The sequence below is a fragment of the Homo sapiens genome, chromosome 13, assembly GCF_000001405.40.
Source record: "Homo sapiens chromosome 13, GRCh38.p14 Primary Assembly".
Lineage (NCBI taxonomy): Eukaryota > Metazoa > Chordata > Mammalia > Primates > Hominidae > Homo > Homo sapiens.
The window spans coordinates 53861675-53877179 of record NC_000013.11 but is presented as its reverse complement, the minus strand read 5'-3'; the positions used below and the strand labels follow the sequence as shown (position 1 = coordinate 53877179).

Genomic DNA, 15505 nt, shown 5'->3' with positions numbered 1-15505 from the left:
GAAATCATTAAACAATTATCAATCGAATAAAAACAAAATGTCTAACTGCAAGCTGGCAGCCTCTACTTAAGGAAATGGAAATGCTTGAGGAGTACTTTAGTTACCCCATAGCGTCTGACACATCATATGTATTTGCTGAATTAATGAATTAGAGGATAAAGGATTTCTAGACACAAGGGAAAATACTTTTAATGAACGATAATAAAAAAATTTTAAGAGGCATGGGGATTACATTTGGTATTAAGAGAGTTGGAAAATAAGAGAATATACACAGAAAACAAACACAAGCAGAAGAAATTTAACATACTCTATTGCCTTGCCAATAGATAAACAGCTCTTCCCAGGGAAGAGATATAGATACTATCTGAAGAAGCAGCATCCTATATACCATGTAATAAAAAATAAGATGAGCATAGGCACAAAGGCACGAGAAATTCTTTTGAGATCCTGATAGAATAAAATTGCAGTGGTGCATGTAGATATGTCTCTAAGGCAGCCAGGGAGCAATAGAAACAACACAAAACTTGAAGTCAAACAGATTCACATTCAAATCCTAGTCTTACCACTTGCTATATGCATGACTTTCAGCAAGTTATTTAACTTTTCTGACATTCCATTCTACTAATTTTATATCTCCAAATGAAGATAACATCTCTTTTATTAACTAATTACCTAGTATCTGCCTGAGATAATATTAGATAGGTACCCAAGAAGTGTTAGTTCCTTTCTTTTTCTTTTAAAGGGTATGGAAACCACTTCTAACCATATATCATGTTAATGTAAATGCAAACTTTGTTTTTTTGTTTGTTTGTTTACAGTGGAGAGGTTAAATTGAAAATTGTATCTAACTTTTTAACCGACACCCAATTATCTTTTTATGTTTATTCATGTATTAAAAAAAGAAAAATAACAGCCCATCTCTGGTATGCATTCCTGTCTTAAGAGTTTAGTGGGAGTACGTTTTATCTCTGTTTTCAATAAAAGACTATGACTTTGGGAAATAATAGAAAATAGGCTAAGTAATTATATCAATCAATCAATCTTTCAAATGAATAAAATATTCCAGGAAAACAGCTTTTATTAAACAATAGAAATAAGAAAGAAGATTTTGAGATAGTGGAATATATAGATACAGTGTAAATTAAGACATAACTGAGATCAACAGATATGATTTAGAAAGAAGGATAATTGAAGTATTGCTCAGTAATTCTTAGGCTGAAAACAATGAAATGCAAATAATATTTATGGCTTTAGATATCTCAGTACCATTGAGTAGAAACAATTGTAGCTAATATTGATTGAACATCTACAAATATGCAGTTACTACTTAAATGTTGTACTCGCTGTTTTTAAATTATCTGCTTCTAAAAGCAACAATAGAAAGGAATACTATTGTTATCTCAGTTTTCCATATGAGCAAGCTATATTACTCAGAGTAACCAGTGAAATGTTGTAAAACTAATGAAAGGTTTAGATACAAACGAACTTGAAAATTTAACATGAGAAAGTAAAAACGTCCTATGCATGTTATCTGTTTTTCATGAAATAGAATATTATACAAATATGTGCCAGTAGATAATTCAAAACAATCAGATTACAAGGTACCAGTGGAAAAGAAAGCTGTTTTCTGATCAAGCCTATGCTTCAAGTTTTTAATGAACCTATTTGATTGCCCATCCCATTTCAACAATTATACTTTTAAGTACTGTTGGAGTCACACACCAATTATAGACTGCTAGATGCTGGCTATGGTAATTACTAATGTATTCCACCAACCCCGTAGTTGACATTCATGAGTTGTCTGTTTAGAATCAAACTCCCCCAACTTCATCCAGAGCGCTCAGGTTTTCCTTTGCAAAATTACCCACCAACTATTCTCAGTTGTGTAACAGTTAGGTAAGAGTAACCAAATATTTGTCATAGATTAGTTTAGCAACTGATACATGGTACAATTCTAGCTAACTTGAATGAAGCAGCTGTTTGCTGGCAGATTCTGAGAAAGGTAACAATCTGGAAGTATAGTTATTGTTGGTGCTACCATGAAGGAGATAACTTGAGAATCTAGATCACAGAGTAACCAACACAACTGCAAAGAAGTGCAGGAGGAATATATAAAACGTTGCAACTCTCTTGAATTTTGCAAATCTCTAGATCATGCCTGAAATCAGATTTAACTGTATTTTTCTGTTATGTGAGTCGTTAAAGTCACTTTTAAATTTAAGCTAGACTTCATAAGATACAATCACATAGAAGAGGATTTCTTAATGCCAGCACTATTTACATTGGCTCAGGTAAATCTTTGTTGTGGGGATGGGTGCTGTCCTGTGCATTGTAGGATGTTTAGCAGAATCCCTAGCCTTTGCCCTCTACATGCTTGTAGATGCCTCCAGTGACTACAATTAAAACTGCTTCCAGACATTGCCAAGTGTTTCCTGTAGTAAAACATCACTCTCTATTGAGAACCACTACCACAGAGTGCTAAAAGACATCACGTGTGCCTTCTCACCAAACATTCTCTTTTTAACTACAATGATTTTCATTCACGGATCCACATATTCTTTGTTTGATGCCTAAACTAAGCCACATGACTTTACTCTTTGACCATAGATTTGTTAGGAGACTGATAAATGATGAAATTTGGGCTGATAAATTTTATGAAAAGTTTGTGTTTACATCTAGAGAAACAACAGTTCCTTTATCTTCTGAAAATAGGTAATTCAATTAGATTTGTGGGATTATGCATTCCAGGGAATCACAGGCAACCACCTTATGACAATGTTGAAAGACAGCCCTTAGACCAAAGTTTACACAAATCAGAACTGGAAGACAAGCAAATAATATATTCTTAGCAATTCTATTATACAGTTGAATCAAACCAACTCTGAAGCCTTCCAGTTTCACGAGTGAATATATCCCCTTAATTGATAAGCTTGTTTGAATTATGTTATCTGTTACTTACAATATATGCATACTATCTATCTGATTCAAAGAATTTTCTTTGACCTGTAATATGAAAAACCTTCCAGGCAAATGAACAGAGATTAACCTCTGATGTCTGACAGAAGTTTCTGTAAAGATGGTAATGTTCTATATCTCTGTTACCCAACATGGTACTCATAGCCACATGTGACTACTGAGCACTTGAAAGTTGGTTAGGGTTACCGAGTTTAAATTTAAATTAATTCTCTCAAGGGGAAACTAGGTAGGAGAATAGGGAACTGGGGTGAGCAGGGGTTAAAGCATGAGCAGGAGAACAGCAGGTGCAGCCAGTTCGCAGAAGCAAGAGAACAGCAGGTGAAGCCAGTTCGCATAAGCAAAAGAACAGCAGGTGCAGCCAGGTCGTATAGGCAGGAGAGCAGCAAGTGCAGCAAATAGGCCTCGTCCTCGCTCCCAAGATAACAAGCCACTTCAGCCTCTGATTGACTGCGGGCGGGGTCTCCACTTCAGCCTCTGATTGGTCACAGGTCAGTCCTTCATGGGTGTGGCCAATTGGAGGCCTCGGGGTGGGGGGGCGGGGGGGCAGGCGGGAACCGAAGGGTGTCGCCGGGTTCTTTACAGCTTAATAAAAACCCTGATTAAGGAGGCTTTTGAGCCGCTTGCTCGAACTCACTCCTGCTCTGTGAATTGTGTTCGGTGGATCTGTGCTTTATTACTCTGTTCTTCTGTTGCTTTGTCTTTCATTGATTTTTTTTATTGTTACTTTGTGCGTTTTGTTCTTTCTTCAAATTCTAGAACAAATTAGAAAAGATAACCATGCAGTTGGAGCTTTGGTTGGCAGCAATTCTCAGCATCTAGAGATGGTTAGTGGAGATGGGGCTCTTAGCAAAATCAACAAGTAAGAACATGAAACCTGATATTGAATTGTGAGATGGATGAGGCAAAGAAACAGCGAAATTAGGCAACTATCAACATTCCAGAGAGGATCAAAGCTGGCAAGTTGCTCTGAAAGCCAACTAAAGTAGATATGAAATTTTAATTTGGACAAATCCATAGCACAGCCTACTCAGTCTTATATTTGGCAGCAAGAGCCGTGAGCATACGGTTGGAAGATCTTACTTAGGTCAGGGGCTTACCACAGGCCCAGTCAACTATGGCCAGGGTGAGGAATCACATAAGTACATGTTCATGACAACATTTGTCTGCATGTCCTCAGTGGGCGTTCAAGGCACTAATACTTTTTTTTTTTTAATTTGTATTTCTCCTCAGCCACACAAGATGTGTGGTGTTACCCTAGCTTTACTAGTGAATAAACTCAGCAACAAAACTCTTAAGTGTCCTTGCTACTGCATCAAGGCAGCCTTTATAGACTACAGATAAGTTTCTGGGAATTATTTCACAACCTCAAAACTCCTCCGCTTTCTCTCTTCCCCTCCTTTGTCTCTTCAGGAAACAATTCTAGAAATGCTTAGCTCAATCTCAAAATGCCATGCTTACTACATTAACTGTGGCCCTCTGTGGGGCAAGTCCCCTGAGAGGAATGCAGCTTGTATCTGTGCAGGTACCCAAGAGCCAAATCACTCTTTTTTTCCAAAATCTGAAGTACCTTCCTGAAATTAAAATGCCAGCTGCCCCTGAAATCCACAAGCAACACCTTGCCTGTGTGTCCTTAGAGTGAAAGTTTGGTTATGTACTTGAATTGCAAAATAGCAAAAAAACTGTGGAATAGAGGCTTTCTTATCTTTCCAAAGTCAAAACTGCTTCAAAAGCTCAAACCAAAGGGATCAGTGGGTGGGTGCTGCTTGGTGTGTTTTCAGCTATCTGCAAGAGCCTCAGTATCATGGCGTTTTACCTGCAAATCTGAACAGTAAACCCAACGGGAAGAAAACCAGGTGGGGGGAATTACCAACAGGTGCACCATGGTATAAACGATAAAATTCAATGCTTTTAGAAAAGAGTTGCAAAACCAAAGAGGTGTCAGAATCCTGTAAGCTCCATATACCAGGCCCTGCAGTGCTTTTCCCTGGTACTTTTCTGCCCCTGGCATAACTCACATAAAATCTGAAAAGTCAAAAATCTGCAGTTTTTAAAACAAACTGCTAACTGAATGAGTGGCAGTATTTGTGGGCTCATATTAAGCGTTCCTCCTTCTTCGGAGAAAGAGGAGGAGTTAAAGCAAACGTGAAATGAGGCTTGCCACAAACTGGATTTATAATCTACCATGCCTTTGGTGCCTTACTAAATGGGTGCTACAATAAACTTCAACAAAATGGCCAAAAGAAATATTAATATTGCTGCTGAGAGAAGTATTTTACTTTGCCCACCATTGTTTGAACATTTGGAGAGATCATGAGCAAATATTTAGGTTAGGGAGACATCTGCCAAGGTAAAGGTTTTCCAGTGAAAAGGGCATTTGAAACTTCTGTCTGGAATGTAATACTTCGCCAAATGAAAGCATCAAAAGGGAGAATAAAACATATAAAAAGATATATATAATTGGTTTTGGGAGGATGAGGAGTAAAACTAAAGGAGAGGAAAATAAGTGTTTAAGCATGCAGATGTAAATAAAATTTTTAAAAATCAGGCCTTTGTAACATTATTCATCTTACCAAATATAAGTATATAAAATGAATGAATTTAATAGGGAGAGACAAGAGGATATATGAGCTGCCCAGAGAGGTAAATTCCAAGTTTCAGCTAAGTTCTTTCCAGACTATTCTCTTTGGAAGTATTTTCTGCCAAAAGTATGCTTCTAGGCTCACCTCAGGTGATGCACTAACATTCTGAAAGCTTTTACCTAAACCAATAAGTGAAATTCCCTGATTAGCTACAAGCCCTGTAGACTTGGTAACTTTGCCCATTAATTAACAAAGGGACAAGTGAAAGGAAAGAAGACAGAGCAGAGAAGTGTAGGGCAGGAAGTCTTGCCATTTCTATTAAGCCCTAGGATAACAACAACAACAATGAAAATGATGTATATTTGCTCTTTTCTTGGCAATTTGTTAAAATAGCTAGGATTTGGTTTTAAATAACATAAACTAGCTGATAAGTGATCTCTGTATGTATGAACTTCCTTGTGTGTGTGTAAATGCACACATGAGCACGTGTAGTTTCACATATATATCCTCAGAATAACAAGTATAAATATGATGCATTTGTAAGTTCTGTTTAAGGAAATTTTATGCGTACTTCACTTCAGAAATTGTGATGCTGGGACTTTTAAAACATTGCAAATATATTTCCAAATAAAAATCAGGTACACATGTGTTACGACAAAGAGGCACTATGACTTTCCCTTCCTCTCAGAAATTAAAGTGGTGACTGCATTTTAAAGATACAGAGGGTATGTGGCAATAAAATGTTTATTAACTCAACTAGAAATATCAGACACAGGTAATTTTTCCTTTATAAACAACTGATCTATTTGGATAGGAAAATGTCACATTGAAACACAGAAGCACCTGGAGTGGGGATAGAGAGAAGATTGGTTGCAGGAATTCCAGATGAATTTCAAAGTAACACATCAGCCCCTGACAAGAACAGCACTGAAGAGTTTGATAACATAAATATGTAGAGGTTATGCTCCAGCCTGGAGAAGGTGTAGAAACCAACACTATCTAAATCTAATGTGATTTCAATATAAACCATATCTTTGCCTTCTGTATATCTCTATGGAATTACGGAATTTAAAACGGCAAATTCCATCTACACTAACCTGATCATTTTTTCCCCAGACGCTTGCAAATGATACTTCTTCAGAATTGTTAAACTCACTTCCCTAGGGATAAGAAATTAAAATATGCTTACTTCTGATTCTAATATAAATTATCAAAATTTACATAATCTTTAAGGAATGATATCTAGGTAAATATTCAGTGAATATATGCAAATTTAAGAATAATTCATTATATATTTGTTTATTAAAATTTGACTCAAATCAAGATATGTATAATAGTAGCATGAAAAATAACATTTTTTGATAGAGCATTTTCAATCTATTAATGAATAATCTCCAAGGTGGATTACTCTATAAACTCATGTTAATTATGTAGGTGACTTAGGAGATTTCACAGAATTGTGAAAGGATATCAGTTTTTAAGATGTTTCCTATTAGAAGACCAAGCTATATGATAAACATGTGAAACTTACTATAAAGACAAAGTTGTTAAAGAATAAACCTAAATGGGCTGGTAATGACAAGTACTTCATGAAAGTAATAGAATTTGAGCATACCTGAAAACATAGGAGTTCTATATCAAGTACTTAAGTGTTTCAATGGTAGGATATCAAAAATATTGAATACAGAGAGATAATGAACTTCTGAGCATTAATCTTTAAGATACAAATCTAGAAATCACAATAAGATTAAATGATTCTCACTAAACCAAAATGTGTTTGAATTCATCAATATATCTAAAGGTTTCATTTTATTTAGCAGGGGCATATATTTCTAAGGAATTGTGTAACAATATCAGAGGAAAAGGGCTGTTCCCATACCTTTTGCTTCCCAGGGAGAGAAGCGAAGGTGTTCAGAGGCTATTAAACCCATGATACATTCAACCTACCTTAGTCCAATTCCCTCATCTCTATGTAGATTTGCAGCTTCATGTTTCTTTCCTTCCAAGAGAATGGGATGAATACTAAAAATCAGTTTATTACAGAAGTTATGTTGCCTCTGAAGACAGTTATCTGTACTCATAACCTGGCTCTACCACTTACTACCTGTGTGACTTGTATAAGTTACTTACCTCCTTGTGACTGTTTCCAGTTCTGTAAAATGGGCCTAATACTAATGGCTACCTCATAGAATTTTGGGGGAGAATTAAGCAGATACAACACAATTAGAGAAATGCCAGGCATTTAGATAGTGCTCAAAACTATTTATAAATTACTATAATAAGCAATTTACATGGCCCCTGTGACAGTGGTTCCCATAAAAAAATGAGATTCTTTTATAGTATATGTAGCTTCAAGCCACACACATGGCAGAGAATGACTGCCCTGAAATGCTACATTTTAGCATATGTGACTGAGTTCCTACTGCCAATAAATGGGAATTTTGTTGCCATTTCTGTGCCATATATATTTCATTAATAAGATTTTATTTCCTGAAGACTTCATCCTTGGGCTTGAGTAAAATTTATACATCAAGACCATTATATGAGGACATATTCTGTCAGACTTCCTCTAAACCAACATTTTGCAAAGTTGCAGTTCCATGAAATACTAGTTTTATGACATGGACAAAAACAAAAGATTCCCTTGTCCAAAAAGTTTGGGAAATGCTACATATTACTCCTCTAAACTTTCATAGAAATTCAATTTCTATTCCTATCCACTAGAATAGGACTAGCTCTTCATTTATTCCTTTCTGCAAGGATGCCACTTCAAAAACTGGACTTACTGCTGGGTATGGTGGCATCTTTAGTCTCAGCTACTCCTGAGGCTGAGGCAAGAGGATAGCTTGAGCCCAGGAGTTCCTGAGCAACATAAAGGGATCCTGTTTCTAAAAAATTAAACAAATAGAAGTACAAACTAGACATGTTACTTTATGGTTTATTTCCTTCTAAGTATAGTCAGTGATGAATTATAAAATGAATTGGCGGCTGGGCGCGGTGGCTCACGCCTGTAATCCCAGCACTTTGGGAGGCCAAGGTGGGCGGATCACGAGGTCAGGAAATCGAAGCCATCCTGGCTAACACGGTGAAACACCGTCTCTACTAAAAATACAAAAAATTAGCTGGGCGTGGTGGTGGGCACCTGTAGTCCCAGCTATTCGGGAGGCTGAGGCAGAAGAATGGCATGAACTCGGGAGGTGGAGCTTACAGTGAGCCGAGATCGCACCACTGCACTCCAGCCAGGGTGACAGAGCAAGACTCTGTCTCAAAAAAAAAAAAAAAAAAAAAAAAAAGTGGCCGGGTGTGGTGGTTCACATCTGTAATTCCAGCGCTTGGAAGGCTCAGTCAGGAGAATCGCTTGAGCCTTGGAGGTCAAGGCTGCAGTGAGCCATGATCATACCACTGCACTCCAGCCTGGATGACAATGTGAGACCCTGTCTCAACAACAACAACAAAAAATAATAATAATTTAAAAAAATCAAAGTTTGGGAAAATCAATGTGTTTTCTTCTTTATGATACCTTAATTCAGGACTTTCATAATTGTTGCTGTTGACTATTGCCTTCTAAGTAGTTTGTTTCTATTTTAACCTTTCATCTAATTCATGTTCCATACTATAGTAAGTCACCTCTCAGTTTAAAATTGCCTATTTAAGAAATGGTAAATAATTTCCAACTTACATGTTATGGGCTGAATGTGTCACCCCTGAATTCATATGTTGAAATCTTAAACCCTAGTGTTTCTATACTTGGGGATAGAACCACTAAGGAAATAATTAAGGTTAAATGAGGTAATAAAGGCAGGACCCTGATTCTACAGGATCAGTGTCTTTAAAAGAGGCAACAGAGTGCTCAGTCTCTCTGTTCCCCTTCTCCCACCCAAACCCAAGGAAAGGTCATATGAGGCCACAATAAGAAGGCAGCTGTCTGCAAGTCAGGAAGAGAGCCCTCACCAGAAATAAAATCCCCCGGCATCTTAGCCTCCAGACTGTGAGAAAATGTTTCTCTTTAAGTCATCCAACCTATGGGATTTTGCTATTGCAGCATGACCTGGCTAATATATATGCCAATGAAGATTGATTTTGTTTGTGGATGCCTAATACAGAGTAAGACCTCACTTAACATCAATAATTGGTTCTGTGAAATTGTGACTTTAAGCAAAACAGCATATAATGGAATCAGTTTTTTTTTCTTATTCCCATTGTAACCAAACAGTGAACTAAACAATTATTCAAGGACCTGCAGTATACTGTTTCACTTAAAGTTTCAGTTTCCAAGAACCTATTGATGGCATTAAGTAAGGACTTACTGTACTGCATTATAAAAGCCTATTAGGACATGGTGCAATGAACTATGAGCAAAATTTGGGAATGGTCATGTGTGTATCATGTGGCTGGCTTAGGGCTTCCAGTATATATTTAAAATTCCTTAGTATAGTTATTCATGGCCTGGCCCTTCATGGCTTGACCCCAACATACTGTGGACTGAGGAACAGCCCAAAGGAAACAGTCTCAAAGAGTGGATCAGTTTCTTTATTAAAAAAAAAAAAATTATTCCAAGCCTAGAGGTACAGACTACTGGCTGGCAGCCTTCTAGAGTTTTCCCCAATGTCTTTCAACCTGAGCCTTCTCTCCTTTCAAATTTCTGAATGTCCCTCCCCTATCTTCCTCTTTCTCACTTTCAGCTGATGACCTTGCTGCGTGTATGCCATCCTGCAGCTATAGCCATTTTCTCACCTGACCAAATTGTGACAAAATCCTTATTCCTAAACAAAACCTGTCCTGCAGAAAATTCAAAACTACTCTACTTCAACAGACAGAATTTATTTCTTTTAGTGAATCAGTTACATAGGTGTTGGAGGGACTGAGGAGCCAAAAGTAAATACACAAGTAAAGATGATAGGAGGCAACGTCTCTAGAGTTGAAGAACAAAAGAAAGAGGTTGAGGTTATTAGAACCTGGAAGAAAAGCCTTGGGAAGCTGAAAACTGGCTCACTGAGGAGGGGACACTTCCCAGCTGTTGAGCTCCAAGAAAAGTTTCTACCTCTGAGGGTTGCAGTGGGGTTGGTTCTCAGGGTATGGCAAGAAGCTAGAAATTGGAACCAGGGGATGCTGGAATGACATTGAAGGAAGTAACAAGCAAACACAAAGAAGAAAATTTCTTATTTCTTCTTTTCTACTTCTAGGCTCCCTCTGAAGCCTTCACCTTGTAGAAACTGGCAGGAAACCAGCAGGCAGATGAGAAGTATAGTTTGCTGTGTGCTTATCCTCCATCACAGAGCAGAACAGAGAAGAATAGGTTTGAAATTGAGAGACAAAATATTTATAACTAGAATATTCTGCTACCTTCTTTCTCTCTTGCACTTTAAGTTTCCTTCCCCTATGATATATTTCCATCAGCATTCAAACATTTTCCTGAATCTTCCATGAAACCCTCACTGGACATCACATTCCTCTCTATAGCTACTGTCCTACATCAAAATTCTCAAAAGAGATATTTAGAAAGTCTATTTTCACTCAAGTAACTACCATGATTAACCATTTACAATGTTAAACTACTTCCATTTGGCCTTTACCCCCATTTGTTAGCATAATTCCATAAATATTAAGTCATACCAGTTTTTGCAATATGAAGGATCCTGCTTTAGGCTCATCTTACTCAACCTTAGAGTGCATTCAACCCAGGTAGCTACTCTGTCCTGGAAATATTCTCCTTTGTGGATTTCCATGAATTTTGGTTCTCTTAACTGGCCACTCTTTCAGGCTCTGATATTTGCAGCTCTTATTCCACTCTTCTTCTAAATGTTAATGTGTCACAGGTTTCAATGCTGGTTCATGACATTTCTGTAGCTTCACTGACTCTGTAAAGAATCTAATGTAGGTGTAAGTTTTGAATAGCATGTATTTATATGCTGATAAAGTCCAAATTTACATATCCAAATACTTTTTCGTTTTTAAACTTCAGGTATCCAATATTCAGATATTCCTCTTCATTGTTATAAAAGCATCTCAAACATAATATGGCCAAGATGATACTGTCGATTATTTTTTTAAAACCTCTTTCTACTTTAGTCTCCTCCAAGTCAGGACCTAGAATTGATTCCTACCTTTTGCTTACATTAAAATCTAAGAAATAATCCTTGATAATTCTATGTCTTTCTCATCCACATCTAATTCATCAGCATCTTTTTACTTCCTAATGTACCTGAAATTCATGCAGTTCTTGCTATATTCACTTTTAGCATTAATGATCCAAGCCACCATCACCATATAGACTACTGTTACAGCTTCTACACTAGTTATCCTGCTTCTAAGTTTTCTCATTCTAATTCAATTTCTCCATAGTTGCCAGAATGATCTTAAAAAAAAATCAAATCTTTTGACTTCTCTTTGGAAATAATTTATTTCCTTACTGCACTTAGGATAAGTTCCAAATAATATACTATGATCTAAAGAGCCCTACCTATTTATCTCACATCACCTTGCACAAGTCTCCCATATACAAATCACTATATCCAACAACACTGATTTTTTTTGTTTCTTAAATTTTTGAGCATTTATTTGCTACAATTAGGCTAAGCAGACTCCAGATCCTCCTGAGTATAGAGTCTAATAGAACATGCAAAAATTATATATATATATATACATATACAATTATAGATTTTAATATTGTGGGAAATAAACATGAGAATTCAGGATAGAAATTAGCATCATGGTTGATAGAGCTAAACTGAAACCCCAAAAATGAGTGTAATTAGCCACATAAAGGATGAGGAGGAAAAAAAATGTCCAAGAAGAACACCATGTGGATAGCTGGAGTTTAGTAAATGAAAGGGAAATAGGCTAGGGATATGGTTGAAGGAATAGCCTGACCAATTGGGTTATCAGGTGTTTCTTAACCTGGGCTATTGGGTCAGAAAGTCTTTGTTGTGGGTGGCTGACCCTGGGCACTGCAGGGTGCTTAGCAGAATTTCTAGCCACTATATGCAAGCAGCACGTGCCCCTAGTTTTGACAACTAAAACTGTCTCCATGTATTGCCAAATTTGCCTTGAGGAACAAAATCACCCTACAGCTGAGAACCACTGGACCTGGAATAAGAAGTTAGAATTATATTTTAAATATGAATCATGGAATCTGTGTTCTATAGTTCATCTAATAATTCATTCACTTATTCAGTATATAGTTACTGAGCACCTAATATGGGTCAGACACTATGGCAAGTACTTGGGATTAAAAAAAAATGAACAAGACAAATTCTTCCCATTTTGGACCATGTAATTGAGTGCAGAAGAAAGCTTCTAAATAAATAATACGACTAACTACATTTGTGAAAAGTACTATGAAGAAAAAGTGCATTTTTCAGTTAGTACAGTACAATTGAAAATAAAGGCAGGAAGATTTGGTCAATAAGCATCCCTTTACATATCAAAATCTTCGTTGTCTAATGTTCAGCTCCATCTTCAGTTGAGTTTGTTGGTATATTGTCCTTAATTTTGAGATGATTTAACATCTTACAAGATGGCATGTGTGTACTTTATATTAAATTATCCACAGTGACTGTGCACATTTTATGTAAAAAGAATGAGGCATACAGAGTTTGATAGTGATGTCCCAGTGAGATGAACATTCAATTTTCATAAATGAAAGCAGATATTATATATTGATATGTGTGATGTGACAAAGCGATGAAATAAAAAATGATTTTAACCTATAAACAGAACAATAAACATATGTGACTTTTAATGGAAACAATATACCCAATGGAGTGAAGGAGACAAAATTTTCTGAGTCATATGGAATTAATGGATATTCACAAAGGCCATTTTAAGGGAGGCTCAGAGGTCAGTGGAAATATATAATCATGACAGATCATTATCACCTTCATCATTCTAGACACTTCGCATATGCTTAATTGCACAAGCTGCTAGGCTGAATGTAGTACAAAGCAAGCTAAAAATTGTTGCCTGTCTTCCATATAAGGCAGATTATAACAAGCAAGTATAGTGTTAGTGCTTTCATAAGCCCAGCTTAACTGAGTTTGATTTTTGTCTTTAAGACAAAACTAATTTTGAACCTTTTCTACAAGACCATCTAAGAGGCCATAATAAAAATAAATGAAAATTTATAAGTTTATTGTGCATACAGGCTGGTCTCTGGGCATGGTTAGCAGGATTTCTCACACTTACTAAGCAAACATGTGTTTGGCTTCAGGGCTAAAAGCAAGCATTTCTAGTTTTAAATATTGTACAGAAAAGCCACCATTTCATTTAGGAAGCTACCTTTTGGCTCTCAGGGTATATCCAAATAAATGGTTGTTTACTGACTACTGACATAGACATATCTCATTAAAAATGTTGCCAAATGAGAATGACTGCCAGAAACAAGGATCACTAGATAGTGTATGTGGTTTTGGTTATTACCACCCATTTCAATCCACGTGCTGCTGTGGATAAATAACTGTTTTAGAATTAATTCAATTTGATTGACAATATCAGAACAACCTAGCTGTGTTAAACAGAAACAAAACTAACAAAATAATTTGCTTTATAATTCACAAAAAAGTTATAAGGCATTAAATTGTCCGTTATGGATTAAATTGTGTTCTACTGAACTTCACATGTTGACTCCTTAATCTGTAATGTGTATTTGAAGATACAGCCTTTAAAAGGGCAATTGAGGTTAAATAAAGCCATAAGGGCACAGCCCTAATTCAACAGGACTGGTGTCAAAAGGAGAGAGATGACAGGGATATGCAACGTAGGAAAGACCATGTAAAGACACAGCAAGAAGGTGGCCATCTGCAAGCCAAGAAAAGAGGCCTCAGGAGAAATCAACCAGCCAGCATCTTGATCATGGACTTCTAGGCACTGGAATTGTGAAAAAATATATTTCTGTTTAAGTCACCCAGTCTGTGGTATTTTGTTATGGGAGCCCTAGCAAACTAATTATTGTTCCACATTGGCAATATTACTCTAAGTTTGTTATTGTTATTCTTAGTTAATATATGGAAATAAAGATAATGAAGGTAAATTATTTGCTCTAAATTACAGAACTAGAGGATAAACTAGTACTCATTACAGATCATCTATGCCATAAACAATAAAACATCCTGACTGACCAAAGACAAGTTGTTCTGTCCATAAACCAAAACATTACAATTCAGTGACAAAAGAATGCTGGCACTTATAGAAAACATAAACTTTAACATATTGTTATTCAAAAAGAGGATAGGAAATACAGGTGAACTAGGAAAAAAAATCCTAAATGAAATTTCTTTAGAGTATTGCTTCTTTTAGATCTCTTCATAGGAATAGTTTTATTTATATTTAGTGGTTATGTTACACAGTTTTAAAATTTCTTAGTTACATCACAAAAATTTATTTCTTATATTTTCAAGTACTTTTAAAATCTGAAACACTGAAGAATTTAGAAGGTCCTTATTTATATATGTCTACATATGTGCATTTTACATGTCTCCTGATAAACCGGCATTTATACAATGTGTTAAGAGGCTGAACTTGTTACAAGGAAATAAAAAATATGACGCTGGAATTTTTATATACACTCGTGATTGGAGATATCTCTATGGTAGTTAATAACTAAGACTATCTCAAGGTGTCTTTTATTTCCTGAGTTCTTTTTCTCAATGAGAATTTTTTTTTCTCTCATAATAGATGGGGTCATTTTTATAACAGAAAAGTACAAGAAAGATCATGCAGGCTTGACCTTGATGTTTCAAATTTGTTAGCATTTTTAGACACCGGTTACTAGGTGTTCAAAGTGATAGAAAAATTGAATGTTGAGATTTGAACACTTTCACGTTCCACATTGTACTTCTTCAAAGCTATAACTTAGCAAAATCTTTGTCACATAGTCAATGATGCTACCATTTTAAAACATTTCATTCAAATTGAATCTATAGTTGTCAACTTTGAGAAAAAGCAAGTTGTAA

At 36.1% G+C, this 15505-nt stretch overlaps 1 long non-coding RNA gene across 1 annotated transcript in view; it reads right to left on the bottom strand.

The window, feature by feature from the left end:
• Window positions 1-1060: 1060 nt before the first annotated feature.
• The window catches only part of LINC00558 (long intergenic non-protein coding RNA 558), a 60701-nt gene continuing 46256 nt past the window's right edge, over window positions 1061-15505 (bottom strand). Inside the window, exons 5-6 of the long non-coding RNA NR_047488.1 lie at window positions 6653-6715; window positions 1061-3728 (exon numbers count right to left, since the gene is read on the bottom strand). This is a non-coding gene — a long non-coding RNA (long intergenic non-protein coding RNA 558). The remainder of the gene's footprint in view (window positions 3729-6652; window positions 6716-15505) is intronic.